This window comes from Homo sapiens, chromosome 10 (genome assembly GCF_000001405.40).
Source record: "Homo sapiens chromosome 10, GRCh38.p14 Primary Assembly".
NCBI lineage: Eukaryota > Metazoa > Chordata > Mammalia > Primates > Hominidae > Homo > Homo sapiens.
In genome coordinates, this window is record NC_000010.11 from 92925414 (window position 1) to 92944348 (window position 18935).

Here is an 18935-nt window from a genome sequence, read left to right on the forward strand (position 1 = left end):
TCTCCCAAGTAGCTGGGATTACAGGTGTGTGCTACCACATATGGCTAATTTTTGTATTTTTAGTAAAAACAGGGTTTCACCATGTTGGCCAGGTTGGTCTCGAACTCCTGGCCTCAAGTGATCCGTCCTCCTCGGCCTCCCAAAGTGCTGGGATTACAGGCGTGAGCCAATGCACCTGGCGTTGGTGATATTATGGTGTAAACCCATAATTTCTCAGTGGTTTTCATGATGTAATTTTGTTGTTATTGTTTGTTTGTTTTGTTTAAGAGATGGGGTCTTGCTGTTGTCCAGCCTGGAGTGCAGTGGTGAGATCATAGCTCACTGCTGCTTTGAATTCCTGGGTTCAAGTGATCCTCCTGCCTCAGCCTCCTGAGTAGCTGGGACTACAGGTGCATGCCACTATGCCTGGCTAATTAAAAAAAAAATTTTTTTTAAAGAGATAGCTTGACATGCTGCCTAGGCTGATCATGAACTCCTGGCCTTGAGCAATCCTCTGATTTCAGCCTCATCTTTACTTTTTTTGAAGTGAAACTTGGAGTCAGACTTTTCTTGAGAGACACTTAGTACAATTTGACTTATTAGTTTGATCATGAGGACTGGCTTTGATAATTAGATTTTAGGTTTTAGGGTGGACTTTTTAAAAAAAAAAAAAAACAAATGCCCTAAGTCTGCAGGTCAGAATTTGAACCAGAAAGTATATTATTAATGGGGGAAAAAAAAGTCTCACTCATTCTATTAAGATATTTATTTCCAATAAAAATGTACTTTTGGGTTTACTCATTATCAAAATGTATGATATACTTAGGCCATTTGCATCAGTTTAGTACTGATTATGATAATTTCACTCAGAAGAAAAAAAACCCACCATAACACCTAAAGCCTTATAATCTCAAAGATAAGAGTAAAACATATCATATTAGACAATGTTTTTTAAAATTAAGTTAGAATAAATTCTGTAAGGATAATGGACTGGAAATAAGAGTTCAAAAGAAAAATGTAGACTTTCTAAATGTTAAGGAATAATGTGTTCATGTATCTCTCTATATTTGTATATTTTATATTTTTTTAGATATGGGGTTTCATGGTAAAAAGGAATCTGAGGAGAAAAGAAAAATAAAAAAAAAAAGAAAGAAAAAAAGAGATGAGGTCTTACTCTGTTGCCCCAACTGGAGTGCAGTGGTATGATCATACCTCACTGTAGCCTTGAACTCCCAAACTCAAACGATCCTCTTGTCTCAGCCGCTTGAGTAGTTGGGATTACAGGCACGTACCACCATGCCTTGCTGATTTTTAAATTTTTTGTAGAGATGGAGTCTCACCACGTTGCCCAGGCTGGTCTCAAACTCCTGGCCTCAAGTGATCCTCCTGCTTTTGCCTCCCAAGTTGCGGGGATTAAAGCGTGAGCTACTGTGCCCGGCCCCATATTTTTTTAAATGAGTGATGGCTGGATATGTTTAAATGAGGATTTAGCAGTTTTATTTTAAATTCCATTTTATCTTTAAATGCATTATATCCTCTACATTTATTTAAAATTATGGTGAAAAAAATTAGTTACCATATTAAAACTGTGTGGGGGACATTATAGCTTATTGAAATTATTTTAATTGTTTGCGTATAAAATAATTGGAAAAAGTTTCGTATAGGATACCTAGGTAAAAATATTTTCTGCATTTTAAGTTTACTTTAGACAGCACTAAGAAAAGTCGTTTTTTGTAGCTACTTAAGTATAAAGAAAATAAAATCAGACTTTTTTTCAGTGAAAATGTGGCTTTTGACATTTTTTTCCTGTAGTTTTTTTCTTTTGACTTTGGAGCCTTAGATGATTAGGGAAATGGTTCTCAACCTTTCCTTCTGATGTTGGATGGGTTCTCTTTAAACAGTGAAGAAGACAGAGGGGATTGAGGTATAGTAATTAATTTATTTTTTCAGTTATTCACTTACCTAATATTTATTGAGTGCCTTCTGCATGCCAAGCATTCTTCTAAGTGATAGGGATACAGTGATGAGCTAGATGGAATGTGGACCATATTCTAATAGAGTGAGGTAGTAAAGATAGATCTCTGTTGTTGGATAATGTAGCTGTTAGTTATATGTAGTTACTAAAATAATTAAAATTTAAATGTAAAAGTCAGTGTCTCATTCAGATTGGCCACATTTCAAATGCTCTATAGCCACATGTGACTAGTGGGCTACCATTTTAGACAGCACAGACATAGTAAACGTTCATCATCACAGGGAGTTCCATTGGACAACACTGAGATAGACTAACCAAGAAATTATAGCATGGTATAAGTGCTATGATAGGGAAGTACAGGTTGCTATGAGAGAACAGAAAATAACAAGCCTTCAGAAGTTAAGGAAAGCTTTCTCAAGGAAGTGATATCTCTGGCGAGTCCTGAAGGATGAGTAAAAAATCATATGGGAAAAGGAAACTGGGAAACTTATTTCAGAAATAGCCTGCACAAAAGCCTGGAAGTGAAAAGAGAGCAGTATATGGATATATTGAGAGTGAAAGAGTAGCAAGAGATGAGGCAGGGGCTTGTATAACATGCTCATGTTACACATAGGGCCTTGTATAACATGCTCAGAAGTTTAGGCTTTGAAGCTAATCTTTCACTGGGCTTCCCTCACTGATAGCCATATTTTGGTTTGGTCAATCAAAAATCTATAAAGCCTAAGTAATAAGTTTGGTAGGTGTCAAATTGTTTAAACATAACTTTATTCTTCCTAATAGTCATGATACAAACAAATTACTATCTTTAAACTATAATGGCAAAACTTATTCTTGACATTCTGTATGAAATGCTATTAAACATTTACATTCTAGTTAGAGAATTTAAAGTGACTCTTGGGGTAAAGAAGTATCTGTTTTAGTTGTATGTGTGTGTATGTGTATTTTTCATTACTCTGCTGATTTTATTTTAGGGTGACGAGGAAACATTTGAAAACTATTATCGAAAACAAAGAAAGAAACAAGCAAGACTGGTATTGCAACCCCAGTCGAATATGGTAAGTATGCGATATTTTGAATTGGTTATGTTGTCACTTTTTATCCCCTTACCCTGTTTTAATTTCTTCAAAGCATGTATCACTGTTCATTCAACTACAAATATTTATTGAACACCTACCATTTCCAAACATTGGTTTAGGTGCTAAGGGTACAGCAGTGAACCAAATAGATAAGTCCCTTTTCTCATGAGCTTACATTCTATTAGGAAAGATAGACAGCGAATTTAAAAAAAAAAAAAAGGACCAACAAGAAATATATAAAATATCAGGGAATGATAGTTTCTGACAACATAGTGGATTATGTATCTTGATTAATTGTCCCACTGAAAATACAACTGAAGATGCTAGATAGACATTTAAAACAAACAAACAAAAAGACAAGAAACTAAGTGAATAAGGAACTGTTCTATATATTGGTTGTGGTGATAGTTACATTAGTAGATGTGTTTGTAAAACTCATAGAAGCTGAATATTGAAGAGTTTTATTGTATGTGACTAATACCTCAATATATCTGACTATAAAACAATCAAAACAGGAAAACCCAAATGAAGGCAGAAATGCAGATAGGTTTAATGAAACACTGAATATAGCTTTTATCCTAGGAGAATCTGCTGAGTAGGAAAGCATGAGTTTTGACGACATTGGGTACAGAGGGCTAAGCCCAGAGCCCACCCAAAGTAGGTGTCTAATAAGAGATTGTCTCCCTTGTAAGCTGAGACTCCAAAGGATTTAAAGCCCCATTATTAGGATGAGCTAGAGATAAAACCATCTAAAAATCCTTCTGTTCCCTCTGGCGAATACTGTAAGGAAAATTACCTATCTCAAATCTTGCTGAGTGAACGAGAGAAAAAATCCTTCTGAGAATTCATAATAAGCAGTTTGTTACCACTTGTGTTTGCAACCCAAATTCATCATACATGGATAGTCAAAGACATCTCAAGCTCAACATTTCAAGTATTTCCATCCTGATACTATCTCCAAGTGCCTGGCAGAAGCAAATACAGATCTCTGCACCTTCATTCCAGAGTTAAACTGAGCAATTCACAGTCAGAAATAATTACCAAACGAGTGAGAATCGTAAGAAATATTAACAACAAAAATAGATTCTAAAAGACTCGATATTTGAATTATTAGCCATAGAGTATATAATAGTGCTACTTAGTATATTTAAAGAAATAAAAGCCAAGCTTGCTAATATAAATAGGGAACAGAAACTATAAAGAATGACCAAATAGATGTGAAGAAATATCAGGTAGAATATCTAGAAATTAAATACATATTAACTGAAGTTAAAAATATTATGAATAGGTTTAACAGTTGATGAATTCTCTCTTAGTTAATCTGAAGAAACTATGTGGAAGTAAGCATCACAAAGACACAGAAGGAAAAATTACTGAAGTGAGACATGAGGGATACAGAGAAGTCTAACATATATCTAATTGGAGTTTCAGAAAGAGGATAGAGCAAATGAGACTGAAGAATATTTGATGCCATATGGCTGAGAATTTTCTGGGACAGATGAGAAATAGAAATCCACAGAGTCAAGTCCAAGGAATCCCAGGTACCTTAAATAAAAAGAAATACACTCTTAGAAACTTTATAATTAAATTGCAGAACACCAAAGATAAAGAGGAATGGAAGACCTGAAAACTATTATCAGCTGTCTTGATCTGATTGACATTTATTGAATACTCCACCCCGGATGGAAGAATACACACGCTTTACATGTGCACATGGAAGATTCACCAATATCATATTCTGGGCCATGAAACAAACATCAACAAATATAAAAAGCTGGGCTGGGTGCAGTGGCTCACGCCTGTAATCCCAGCGCTTTGGGAGGCTGAGGCAGGCGGATCACCTAAGGTCAGGAGTTTGAGACCAGCCTGGCCAACATGGTGAAACCCCATCTCTACTAAAAATACAAAAATTAGCCAGGCATAGTGGCGCGTGCCTGTAATCCCAGCTGCTCGGGAGGCTGAGGCAGGAGAATCACTTGAACCCGAGAGGCAGAGGTTGCAGTGAGCCGACATCGCACCATTGCACTCCAGCCTGGGTGACAAGAGTGAGACTCTGTCTCAAATAATAATAATAATAATAATAAATAGAAAAAGCTTGAAATCATACAAAGTCTATCCTCTGACTGCAAGAGAATTAAATGATCCATATGCAAAAAATGAATATTGACTCACTTCTTTCAACAATTAAAGGGGATCATCGACCTAAATGTAAGAGTTAAAATTGTAAACTTTTAGGAAAAAACAAAGGATAAAATCTTTATTACTCTATAATGTATTTATAGTATTTTCCTATGTGAGTTACATAAAGCATGAGCCATAAAAGAAAAAAAATAGATGATTTGAACATCAAAATCTAAAACTTCTGCTTTTCAAAAGGTGTTGTTAAGAAAATGAAAAAGCTGGCTCATGCCTGTAATCCCAGCACTTTGGGAGGCCAAGGCGGGCGGATCATGAGGTCAAGAGATCGAGAGCATCCTAGCAAACATGGTGAAACCCCGTCTCTACTAAAAATACAAAAATTAGCTGGGAGTGGTGGCGTGTGCCTGTAGTCCCAGCTACTAGGGAGGCTGAGGCAGGAGAATCGCTTGAACCTGGGAGGTGGAGGTTGCAGTGAACTGAGATCGTACCATTGCACTCCAGCCTGGCGACAGAGCAAGACTCCATCTCAGAAGAAAAAAAAAAAAAAAAAAAAAAAAGGAAAGGAAAAGGCAAGATATGGACTTGGAGAAAATATTTGCAGAACTCATGTCTAAAAAGGGGCTTTATCCAGAATATGTAAAGAACTTGTATAACTCAGTAATTGAAGACCAATAAACCAATTTAAAAATGGACAAAAGATTTTTTTTTTTAGTGTAGTACTGAGTTTACTAGAATAAACAGAAAATAGAACAGAATAGATGATTGAGAAACAAATTTAAGTGTATATAAGAACAACTGTCAGGCTATTTTTTTTAGTTGACATATAATAATTGTACATATCTATGGGACATAGAGTGATATTTTGATACATATATATATAATGTGTAATGATCAAATCAGAGTAATTAGCATATTCATTGTGAAAAACTATACTGAACATCTTCTCACATGTTTATTTGCCATCAGTTTATCTCTGGTAAAATGTCTATTCAAATCTTTTGTCCATTCCACGCTCTAGGAACAAAGCTGGATGGAGAATGGACAAAAGATTTGAATAGACATTTTACCAAAGATAAACTGATGGCAAATAAGCATATGAGAAGATGCTCAGTATAATTTTTTCGTCAGGGAAATGCAAATTAAAACCACAATAAGATACCACTGCATACTTACTAGAATGACTAAAATTGAAAGGATTGATAATAGCAAGTGCTGGTGAGGATGTGAATCAAGTGGAACTCTCATACACTTCTGATAGATATAAAATTATACTGCCACTTTGGAAAATGGTTTGGCAATTTGTTACAATGTTGAGCAAACTCTTCTATGACCTAGCAGTCCTGCTCCTAGGTATTTATCCATGAGAAATGAAAATGTATCTTTATACAGTGGCTCATATGTGAATGTTTGTAGTAGCTTTATTATAAACACCAAAAACTAGAGACATCTGAATGTCTGTGAACTAGTGAATAAATTGTGGTACATCCATATGTATAAACAAATTATTGTATGTTTTATATAATGGAACTACTCGGCACTAAAAGGGAATTGATACATGCAGTGATATGGATGAATCTCAAAAGTATTATTCTAAGTGAAAAAAATTCATATGCAGTAAAGTTATATATAATATGAGTAATGTTATATGACATTTTTGAAAAGACAAAACTCTAGGACAGAATGGGATCAGTGGTGGCCAAGGGCTATGGGTTCGGCAGGATAATTCTCTACAAAAGAGCAGGAGGAAACTTTCTGAGATGGAAATGTTGTATTTTTTTATTTATCTGGTGGTTACACAACTGTCTACATTTGTCAAAACTCAGTGAACTCTACATGTAAAAAAGGGTTAATTTTATTATATGTAAATTGTACCTCAATAAACTTAACTTTAGAAACAAACATAAACAGAAAATCTTAAAGGTACCCAGAAAGAGGTTATTTTCAAGTAAACAAAACAATAAAATATTTTCAATTCTGAAAAAAGTAACTGTCAACTTAGGATTCTATATCCAGTGAAACAAGGGCAGAGATAGACATTTTCAGACAAAGAAGAGCAGAGTTGGCCACTAAGACACGCTTACTAAGGAGATCCTAAGGATATGCTTCAAACAAAAGGAATGTGATGCCAAAGGGAAGATGTGAGATGCAAGAAGGAATGAATAGCAAAAAAAGTATAAATATTTAGGTAAATCTAAAATGACTGTAGGAAATAATGTAAAATATTGTGGACATTAAAACAACATAGAATTTTAATTTGTGCAGCAGCAATAAGAAAAAATAAGATAGAATTAAAATACACAACAGTAACATAAACATCAGAATGAGATGGAAGTTAGTGAAATTAAACTATCCTACAGTTTGAAGCGTCCAGCAGAAGAGTAAAAACATTGACTAGCTTTAGAGTTTGGTTACTTAAGGATGTGTAATGTGATTTCCAGAGTAACTACTGAAGGAATAGAAACAGGGTATATATACTTTTATATAATACAGGGAAAGCTAGAATGATAAGAATAAAATTTTTGTTATTTGTGTGCTTTTGAGTTGATAAAAATGGTAATTCTAAACCTATAAGCACTTGATAACATTGACTCAAAGTATTTAAAGCAAAACTGCCACAACTACAAGGAGAAATAGAAAAATCCACAAGTATAGTGAGTTTTAAAATATGTGTCAGTATCTTCTAAACCAAGTAGACATAACATCAGTAAGAATACAAAACATGCTTAATAGGCTTCATCTAATGGAATATATAGAATCCTATTTCAACAACTGTAGGAACATATTCTTTTCAAGCACACATGGACCATTATTAAAAATTTGACTACATACTATGCTATAAAGCAAGTATCAGGAAATATCAAGCATTTGGTGACATGTAGACTATATTTTCCAATCACAGTATTTCTAAGCTAAAACGTATTAATAATTCTTCCCCCAAAACACCTGAAGAAAACCCCAGATGTATGAAAATTTGATCACATTCATGAAATTTGCAAAACATAACATTTGAACTTAATTGAAATATGAAATATTTCATGTAATAAACTTTTTATGAATGAAAGTCAAATGATCAAATATTTTTCTATATGCCTTGTTAAAATTATAAACAATAGGCAATCATAAAACCATAAAAGGTTTTGGCAGAAGATATAATCTGATTACTATTTGAAAAATATCATTCTGGCAGCTGGACAGGCTGGAAAATATCATTCTGGCAGCTGGACATTCTGGTAGGGGACAGGCTGGAAGTTGGGGAGACTATGTAGGAGGATGGTATAATACATAGTCAAAGTAGAGGTGATGACAGCTTTGATTAGTCTGCTGAGAAGGGGGTTCTGAAATCATATTTCCTTTTTAACTTGTTTATCTCCTTTCGAATGTACGTTCCATGAGAGTAAGGACTTTTTGTTATTTACAGATATATCCCTGGTACCTAAAAATGTACGTGGCATATAGTAGACTCTCAATAAATATTTGTTAATGAAGTTGTAGTGACTTGGAACTTACCTTTATGTTACCAGTATTTATTGGTTTAAATTGATTTTTATTTTTCATTTTAAGCATGAAACAGTTGATGGCTATAGAAGATATTTCACTCAAATTGTAGGGTATGTATCTAATATGGAAATAACTATTATTAATTTTATATTATGTTAAATGCCAGAAATACTTACTTTCTATTAGGGTTTTTTTTTTTAACACATGCTTTGGTAATTACTGTTTTTAGGTTCTTTGTGGTAGAAGATCACATTTTACATGTGACCCAAGGATTAGTAACCAGGGCATACACTGATGAACTTTGGAACATGGCCCTCTCAAAGATAATTGCTGTCCTTAGAGCTCATTCAGTAAGTCAGACAATTTACATTACTAAAATTTTAATTCAGTTACTTCAAGAACTTCTGAGCTGCATAATGTCAGAGGAAAACTGTACCTCCATCATTCTGCATTTTTTTAGTAGTTGCTTAGATTTGGAAGTAGTAATGTCAGGCTTTTGTTTGGTAATATCAGACTATGATTTTGCAACTGACTGGGGCTTCCCAAAACACCTTTATTCTAGCATTATAGAAAATGAAGAATTAAGCAGGTCTCATTAGTCTCAACTGACCTCTTCATTAGATCTCTGAAAAGCACCATGAAGAAAATGTTTTTAATTATCATTTCAATTCTTTGTTTCTAAAATAAACTCCACCATTAAAACTCAGTAGAACTTGTTCTTCAATGTTTACAATTTACAGTAATACACTATAATAATGAATTTCTTTAAAATTTGCGATTTTCAAAATTTGAAATATTGAACCTTTGTGTAATGAGAGGTTTTTATAGATGAAAATTAAATGATCAGCTATCTTCCTAATGCCTTTTCTGGAAATAACAAATATGTTAGTGTTATAAAGACAATACTTAGTCAGTGTAGGCCTTTTTAAAAGTTGTAGTAGTTTACCTTTATTAATATATTTCATACTTAAAATTTTGTCTATTTATAATTTTATAATTGATCATTGAGATTTTTAAAAATTGAAGAAAGTTTGTTAGCTTATGTGATATTAAGATTATAAATAAGCTGCATTTTTATTTATCAGGAATGTAGATTCTTGATACACTATCCAATGAACTACAACTTTTCCTAGCATATTAATAAAGAACAATACATTTTATCATGGTCGATATTCAGATCAGCTCTGAATATATAAAATTAAAGTATATTTCCTGTTAATTCCATGATACCAAATATGAAGTCATATTAAATACAGCATATCACTTTCAAAATCTTATTAAATGCTATGACAGGGACAGAGTAAATCTCACTGTCCCTTTGAAATTAATAATTTTCTTTTGGTTAATTACTAAGAAAATAATGAAATTGTAATTCTTATATTGGAAAAAGTAATACATAGTGTCTCTTTTATAAGATGGAAAATAAGTAAATAGATGAAATGTGAAAATACATAGTCTATTATAAACCTTTTTCAGTTTAAATAACTAGTTCCTTAAAATCTAAAAACTTTTGAAATATAAGCATCATAAGTATCATATTATGATCTCCCTCTAAACGTTTATACTGAATAGAGAAGGTCTGTTGTGAATCTAACCAACCAAAATTTTAAACTTATTATAAGTCTGGCAGATTAAAAGAAACATTATCAATTTCTTATTTCTTAGTTTTTAATCATATGACTCTGGTTTGTTGTTGTCGGTGTTTTGTTTTGTTTGTGTGTTTCCACCCTCAGTCCTATTGCACTGATCCTGATCTTGTTCTGGAGCTGAAGAATCTTACTGTAATATTTGCAGATACTTTACAGGTGGGTGATAACCTAACAATTAATGGTTATTCTGATCACTTAAAAACATACAAAATATAGGCTATACTCATTTATGTTATTGTAGATTAGTGGCAGTAAATTAGTAGTAATAAATGTTTACCTACATATTGATATTCTGCTATTACCCAGGACTATTCATACCACTTCCTTTTCAATTATGAAGCTTAGACAGAACTCAGGGATGCTACCATCTTTTAAAATATTGATCATTCAGTTAGAATAAAGTATTTTTATAGTTGAAAAAAAGAATACAGAGTATAATGGAAGGAACCGTGAACTAGAAATTAGAAGATATAAATTCTGCCTTAGGGCAGTGAGAAGTGGGTTCTAGAATCACATAGACCCAGAGTTTCTGTTCTGCCTGTGCTGTTGACTAATTGTATGCCTGCAGGTTCTTTAAGCTTTAGATCCTTATTTGTGAAAATGGGTTTATTACTAATTTCAGAATTGTTTTTAGTTTTAAATATGATACTTTGTATGAAAACACATGATTTGAAAACTGTATGTTCATTTTCTTCCTGGTTTCTGGTTTTCCATGTGTTCTATGAGCAAATCACTTTACTTTTTTGAGTTGTTTTTCTCTTTTTAAAAATAAGGAGGATTGTTTGAACCCAGGAGGTGGAGGTTGCAGTGAGCCGAGATCGCGCCACTGCGCTCCCCTGGGCAACAGAGCGAGACTCCATCTCAAAACAAACAAAAAACACGAAACAAACAAAAAAATAAGATTTTTCTTTTTATTGGGAGTAATATTATCCTCTCCCCTTCGGATATTAAAAGCAATATCACCGGCAAGTTGTACACCTGCTGCGTTATTGGGAGTCATATCATCCTCTCCCACCTGGATATTAGAAACAATATTACGGGGTGGGGTGTGTACACCCTCTGTGATATTAACAGTAATATTATTCTCTCCCTCCTCGATATTAGGAAAAATATCACAGCGGGGGGTTTATAACCTCTGCGATATTGGGAGTAATATTATCCTCTCCCATCCTGGATATTTGGAACAATATCACAGGTGGGGTGTACACCCTCTGCGATATTGGGAGTAATATCATCCTATTCCCCCCTGGATATTAGGAACAATGTCACCCCCTGAGATGTTGAAAGTAATATAAAAAATAAGATTAAAACTAAATTATTTCAGAACTCAATATTTTTGTGATTTTCAGTATCAAAGTTTTGAGATTTCTAGCTTGTCCTTCCTCCTTGATCACAGATAATAAAGAATTGATTGCATTTTCTTTTCCTGTGTAAATTTATGGGATTTTATGGTTAGAAGTAACTTTTCATGAAGTACAGACTAGCATTTTCCAAAGTGTGATAAGAGCTGTTACTTAAAAAAAGTGTCCCGTGGTCCAAAAGTAAAACATATTTCTCCACTGAAAACTTTTCTGAGAGCAAATTTATACCCATAAGTTCCCAAAAAGAAGATGATTATGCAGCATTTTCCCAATATATTTGACCCTTGAATCTTTTTCCCCCTTAGAACATCTTTTAGATCTAGAACTTTATATAATATGCTTTGGGAAATCCTGATTTAAACTATTTGCTTTATCACAAGAGTCTTTGCATCTTAGAATTATAGTTTTCTACTTTATTCTTAAACCTAAAGAGAAGATTCCACAAGCTCCTTTAGTAAATTATTTTATCACTCATGTCTATTATATATTAATTTGTATGGCTTATATTTTAACAGCGGGATAAGGTGGGATTTTTTGTTGTTGTTTTCATAAATTTTGTGATGACTGTATAATACTGATCTCGCTGCAAGAAAACTTTTGGGAAGTTTTATTTGGGGCTGTCCAAATTTTGGGAGCCCATTTCTAAGTAGCTTGAGATATTAGGTTAGTGCAAAAGTAATTGTGATTTTTGCCATGGAGAGCAAAAGTAATAGTAATTTTGGATAGTAATTTTGCTGTACTTAATGACTTAAAGCACTTCTTCTCAAAGTGTGGTCTGTGGACCACTGGTCTGCAAACTGTTTGTTACTAGTCTGCAAATTATCTGTTAGATCCATAACAAAAAGGAACTTTCCTCAGAATGTAAATTAACTATATCCCCAAGTACAAAGTTTAGTGCAGTTGGCATCTTGCTACAAGCAAGACTTTTTTTCAATATAGGTAGCAGCATCAATTTGTATTCTGGTGCAAAGTCCTTATTTCTTTGTAGACTGTAATAAATAGTTATTGGACTGGACTTTGAGTACAGCTGAATCTACAGTATTTGATATGGTACCAAGGAATTCTCCAGAGAATCAAAGAAAAGTCAAAGATAATATTTAGGTAATATTGGCACTGTAAAAGCAACAATGATAGTTACATAAACCCTTGCAAGGATACCTTTCTCATATTATTGCTTTGAAATATGACTGGAGAAGTCAAACCAGTCCTTCCTACTTTTTCAGTTTCTACAGTATTTTCATTTCACTCAAAGCTGACAGACTGAGTATTAGGTCTATCTTATACTGAATTAATGATTGCCAGCTTTTAAATTTATAACTATTAATTGAAGAACTGGTAAGTGTCTTTTCATGAAAACTAATTAAAGAATGTTACATAATACTTAGTTTTTTAAATCAGCCCTTGCCACCCTAAGGAAATTTTGCTTTTTAAAATGCTAGTATTTTATCTTCTAAAACAAAGCTGACTAAACAATAAAGTGAAAAAGTAATACCAGCATATTTATATTCCTTACTGCCTATTAGGCAAATAACAAGTAAACATTTATTGATTCCTTTATTAACATTTTTTGAGTACCCAATACATGTTGGCAGACTAGTTGATGTATACAATAGTAGAGACATAAAAGTCAGTAAGACAGTAGGGACGTAAAAGTCCTTGGCTTCAAGAAATTCACAGTTTACTTACTTGTAAACGAATAAAATGTTTAATAAGGCATCCTAATGCAGCAAGCAATATGTTAGCTTTGGGCTTGCAGAAGGTGGAATAACTAACTTAGATTCTAGGAGTTGAGGAAGGCTATACAGAAAGTTGAAATTTGAGCTGGGTTTTGAAGGATGAGTTCAGCAAATAGGTAAGAAGGAAAGGGCATTAATGGAAGAAAAATAGCATGTGTAAACTATAGATAAAAGCATGGTGTGGTGAAAGTGAAACTGAGCAGCTTGATGGTATTAGAAACTGTAGAATAGCGCTGTGAACAAGGAAGGGCAAATAGTGGTGATTAAACTGATGAGGTGGTTTGACCCAGATTATGGGACATCTTGTGGGACTTCAGTAAGCATTTTGTAGTTTTTAGGCAGGGGAATGGCACAATCAGATTTATATTTTTGAATGAAATTTTGAGAATCTGGGAAATAGAGATGGTTGAAATTTTAGTTTAGGAAGCTTTTACAATGGTCTAGGTAAGAGATATTAAGGACCTGAGATAAAGCAGTGGCACTAAGAATATTTCTGGAAGAAAGAAAGATGGGTAGATGATGGAGAATGATAGATTTGATTTGTAAAAGGTAAAAATCAGAAGAATTTGGTGACTACTCAGTGTGTGTGTGTATGTGTGTGTGGCAGGGGTGGGGTGTTTAGATGGTTTTCTAGATTCTCTGTTGATAAACTAGGTTGATGATAGCATTATTATTATGGATAGGAAATAAGAGGAATACTTGATTTCATTGGAGAGAGGAAGTGAGTTTAATGTACTTGCTGGCTGAATGACTGGAGATGAAACACGTGTTGGAATTAAATATTTGGAATTTAGAGAGGCCTAGCTAGAGATGCAGATTTGAAGTAATCATCAGAGGTTGAAATCATTAGACTTGAGATTGCCCTAGCGAGCTAGAAGAAAAGACTAAAGGTTAGAGATAGAAGTTACACAAGGAAACTGGAAGGATTGTTCATAGATGGAGAACAAGAAGAGTGATTGGTGTTATAGAATTCAAAGCAGAGGAATTTCAAGAAAGAGATGTCAGGTAGAGTGAGATCATTGAATTTGATATTTAGGAGATAGTCTGTGACATTGTTGAGTAGTTTAAATAAAGGAATAGAAGTGAGAGATTGTAGTACGTTTGACTTTGAAGGGAGTGACAGAGGCAGCTGACAGGCTACAGAAAATTGAGGGAGAGCTGTTTTGGTCTCTTGTTTTTCTTGGCTTAAAGATGGGAAACAATTTAGCATGTTTATTTAGCCAAGAGAAAGGTGCCTGTGGAAGTTAAAGACATAATAGAGTAAGAAGTTAACCCATGGAATGGTTTATGTGGAAGGAGATAGGCTCAAGAACAAAGATGGAGAGAGAAACCTTGGAGAGACAAGTGGAGAATTCTGTGAGGTGAGAGAGAATGTTTGGTCCCGATATGGGTAAGATTTCAATGAGTTTGGAGTCGGAAAGAATAAAATTCGGAAGTGTGAATGTTTAATGGAAAGATATAAATTTTCCCAATGTGACAAACTGAGTCTTAAATTGAAGGTGCAAAAGGAAGCCAGCCTGTCTCAGACAGAATCCATTCCCTTTTCTTCTTGTATCCTTGGGCACCACTTCCCAAGACACTGTTATGTAAAAACTTATCTTGAATTTTTTCCTCCAGCTCTGACTTCTAATACTTTTTAAGGCTAACACTGTAATCATTACTAAAAAGAGAGAGAAGAAATGGAAAAACCATTCTATTCTCATAAAACTCTTTCTGAACCTCTTTTTTTACCGAATGCAATGTAGTAGAAAGTCAAAATGTATCTTTTTTTTCTTACTGTGAGAATGGCATGCAATGGGATCTAGTGATTCCTTCCAAATGATTCTCTAGTATTCCCAACATTTTTAATGAATATTTTTGTACACTTGTTTATCTGCTTTTTTTTTTTTTTGTATTTTAGGGTTATGGTTTTCCAGTGAACCGACTTTTTGACCTTTTATTTGAAATAAGAGACCAATACAATGAAACACTGCTTAAGAAATGGGCTGGAGTTTTCAGGTTAGTCTAAGTCATGGTGCCTTAATATAATGAATATGTTTGTCAAATGCTCAAGTGGTTCATTTGCATATATTAATAAAAATGCTTATAATCATTTTTATTGTAGTAAAGTACACATAGAATTTACCATCTTAGCCATTTTCAAGTGTGTAGTTCAGTGGTGTACAGTCAAATTGTTGCAACTGTCACCACCATCCATTTCCAGAACGTTTTCATCTTCCCAAATAGAAACTCTGTACTCACTTAACAATAACTCTCCATTTCCCCCTTCCCCCAGCCTCTGGCAACCACCACTCTTGCTTTGTCTCTAAAATTTGACTGCTCTAGGTACCTCATGTAAGTGGAATCAGATATGTTTGTTCTTTTGTGTCTGGATCATTTCACTTAACACAGTGTCTTCAAGGTTCATCCATATTGTAGCATGTCAGAATTTCATTCCTTTTTAAGGCTGACTAATATTCCATTGTCTTTATATACCACATTTTGTTTATCAGTTCATCTGTTGATGGACATTTAGGTTCCTTCCACCTTTTGACTATTGTGAATAATGCTGCTGTGAACGTGAGTACAGTATACATATATCTGTTTGAGTCTCTGCTTTCAAATCTTTTGGGTTTATACCCAGAAGTGAAATGCTGGATCATATGTAAATATATCTTTAATTTTTTGAGGAACTACCATACTGTTTCCATAGTGGCTGTAACATTTATAATCAGTTTTTAATTATACTTGCTTGTAGTTCTAATATCTGTAAATTTTTCCTAGTAAATGATTAAATACTTATAAGACTATAAGTATTCAAAGATATTTTGTATTAGAGACAGAAATTTACAGCTTTTAAATTTTGTTTTGGGCAAGTGCTGTTTTTACAAATAAAATAACTAGATTAAGAATCTTAAAGAATCTAAACGAGAAAATTACTTTTGCTTTAACCACTTATCTGCAGGCCATGGACAAAAGTATTTTAATATCTGTGTAACTTTTTAGTGACATGAGAAGAGAAATATGCCCCCACACTTGAATTACTAAAAGTTTTCCTCCCTCCCTTCTTTCTTTCTTTTTCTTTTTGTCTCTTTCTCTCCATCCTTCTCCCTTTCAGGAAGAAAAAGTCAATCTTGAGGTTTTACATCTTGTTTACCCAAAATATGATAGAAGTAATGTGTCAATATTTGATGATATTAAAATAAAAGTACGTTAGATGATTTAATACCAGCTTAGCACTTATCCCATCAACTTTCAAAACTATGGAGATTGACCTTCTAAATACTGTAATAGAAATTTTCGAACAGGGTGAGGTGGCTTATGCCTGTAATCCCAGCACTTTGGGAGGCCAAGATGGGAGGATCTCTTGAGGCCAGGAGTTTGAGACCAGCCTGGACAACATAGTAAGACCTTGTCTCTACAAATAAAAAATAAAAAAATTAGCTGGGCATTGTGTTGTGCACCTGTAATCCCAGCTACTTGGGAGGTTGAGGCAGGAGGATTACTTGAGCCCAGGTGTTTGAGGCTGCAGTGAGCTATAAACACACCACTGCACTCCAGCCTGCACAAAAGGGCAAGACTGTGCTCTTAAAAAATATTTTTTAGTGCCTAAGTGGCTCATAAGGTGATACACATCTAGTAAAATCAACTAAACAAATCCTTATTTGAGTTTTTGGTATTTACATTCTTCAGGAGTGATATTATCAGGATGCTATCCCAGATGGATAATTGACAGTCCTGATGAGTCATATGGAACTATCAACAATTATTTTTATTAACTATTTTAAAAATAAAGGTAGCATTTATTGATAAAGATGGTAATCTAGAACATATATGCTATGATATAATGTATAATATGATGTAATATGATATTTTTATAGTTATAAAATCTTATAGACTTGATGTTATTTAACTGGCCTCTTCAGAAGGGTGTTTATGTTTTCATAACTGTCGATAGATTGTATTGGGCCAGCTATTCTCTCTTACCTGTCTTAAGACTTCTAGTACTAAGATTGTTCCTCAAGACTGGGGAAACCATGAGGTATTGTTTTCTGTCTGGGAAGCTAATGGCTTCATTCACATAGAGATAGGATTAATTTTATCCTCCAAAGTAATAGTGGAGGAGAACAAATGATAGCATGTCAATTTTAACACAAAATTTCCAAATATATTTTGACTTCTGCTTTTAATACTCTTCCAGATCATGCTTTTTGCCTAATTTTTTTTTTTTTTTGAGACGGAGTCTTGCACTGTCACCTGTGCTGGAGTGCAGTGGCGTGACCTCGGCTCACTGCAATCTCCGCTTCCTGGGTTCACGCCATTCTGCCTCAGCCTCCCTAGTAGCTGGGACTACAGGCGCCCACCACCACGCCCGGCTAATTTTTTGTACTTTTAGTAGAAATGGTGTTTCGCCGTGTTAGCCAGGATGGTCTCGATCTCCTGACCTTGTGATGTACCCGCCTTGGCCTCCTAAAGTGCTGGGATTACAGGCGTGAGCCACCCCTCCTGGCCACCTAAATTTTTAAGAAGTAGCACAACTTAAGCTTTGCTTACCTCTGACCCGTATCCTTAAATATTTTATAAATAGTGAATTGACAACCTAACAATTAAATGGGGGAAAAAGAAAAATTATCAATACTGAATGATATTCAAAACTTGACTACTTCCATGATAGAATTTATAACCTGACTACTGTTACATTTTATCTGTATGCAGCTCTCTCTCACTATATTATGAGCCCTGTTTTATTTTTGTATTATTTTTGGATACATGTGCTTTTATTTAGTTTTTAATTGACAATAATTTTATAGATTTATGAGGTACAGTTTGATGTTTTGGTATATTGTATACATTATGGAATGATTAAATCAAGCAAATTAACATATCCATCACCTCACGTACTTATTTTTTTTTTTTAGTGGTGCAAACATTTAAAATCTACTGTTGGCAATTTGAAATATATGTTACATTATTATTAACCGTAGTCACCTTGCTGTGGAATAGATCTCAAAAACCTATTTCTCCTGTCTGACTGAAACTGTACTCTTTGACAAACATCTTGGCATCTCCCTACCCTGCCTACGCCACTTTCTGATCGCCCTACCCTCTGGTAACCTATAAATCAGAAATCAGGCTTCTCTCTACTTCTGTGAGTGTGACTGTTTTAGATTCCTCATATAAGTGAGATTATGCAGTATTTGACTTCTGTGCCTAGCTTATGTCACTTAGCATAATGTCCTCAAGGTTCATCCTTGTTGTTGCAAATGACAGAATTTCCCTCTTTTATAGGGCTGAATAGTATTCCATTGTGTATATGCACTTTTTTTTAATCCATTCAAAGGTCGATTCCGTATTTTGGCTATTGTGAATAATTCTGCAGTGAACATGGGAATGCAGATAACTCTTTGAGATACCGATCTTTTTTTTTTAATTTTTATTATTTTTTTTGAGACAGAGTCTTTGCTCTATCACCCAGGCTGGAGTGCAGCAGCGTGATCTTGGCTCATGGCAACCTTCGCCTCCCAAGTTCAAGTGAGTCTCCT

The 18935-nt window shown here is 34.2% G+C and overlaps 1 protein-coding gene across 12 annotated transcripts in view, besides 1 other annotated feature; it reads left to right on the plus strand.

Moving 5' to 3' along the window:
• Positions 1-18935, plus strand: part of EXOC6 (exocyst complex component 6) — a 232660-nt gene that overhangs the window by 98583 nt on the left and 115142 nt on the right. For 11 of the 12 annotated variants that reach the window (NM_001013848.4, NM_001319194.2, XM_017016344.3 and 8 more), the window contains 5 exons: positions 2926-3009; positions 8731-8777; positions 8897-9017; positions 10401-10472; positions 15314-15411. In NM_001013848.4, the coding sequence (NP_001013870.1) occupies positions 2926-3009; positions 8731-8777; positions 8897-9017; positions 10401-10472; positions 15314-15411 (422 nt within the window). The remainder of the gene's footprint in view (positions 1-2925; positions 3010-8730; positions 8778-8896; positions 9018-10400; positions 10473-15313; positions 15412-18935) is intronic. The other variant, NM_001319200.2, reaches the window with a different exon arrangement.
• Positions 2139-2433: a silencer, noted in NCBI's record as "tiled region #15544; HepG2 Repressive non-DNase unmatched - State 23:Low". NCBI's record gives its function as "represses a minimal TATA promoter and a strong SV40 promoter by Sharpr-MPRA in HepG2 cells {active_cell/tissue: HepG2}" and the evidence as "EXISTENCE:reporter gene assay evidence [ECO:0000049][PMID:27701403]".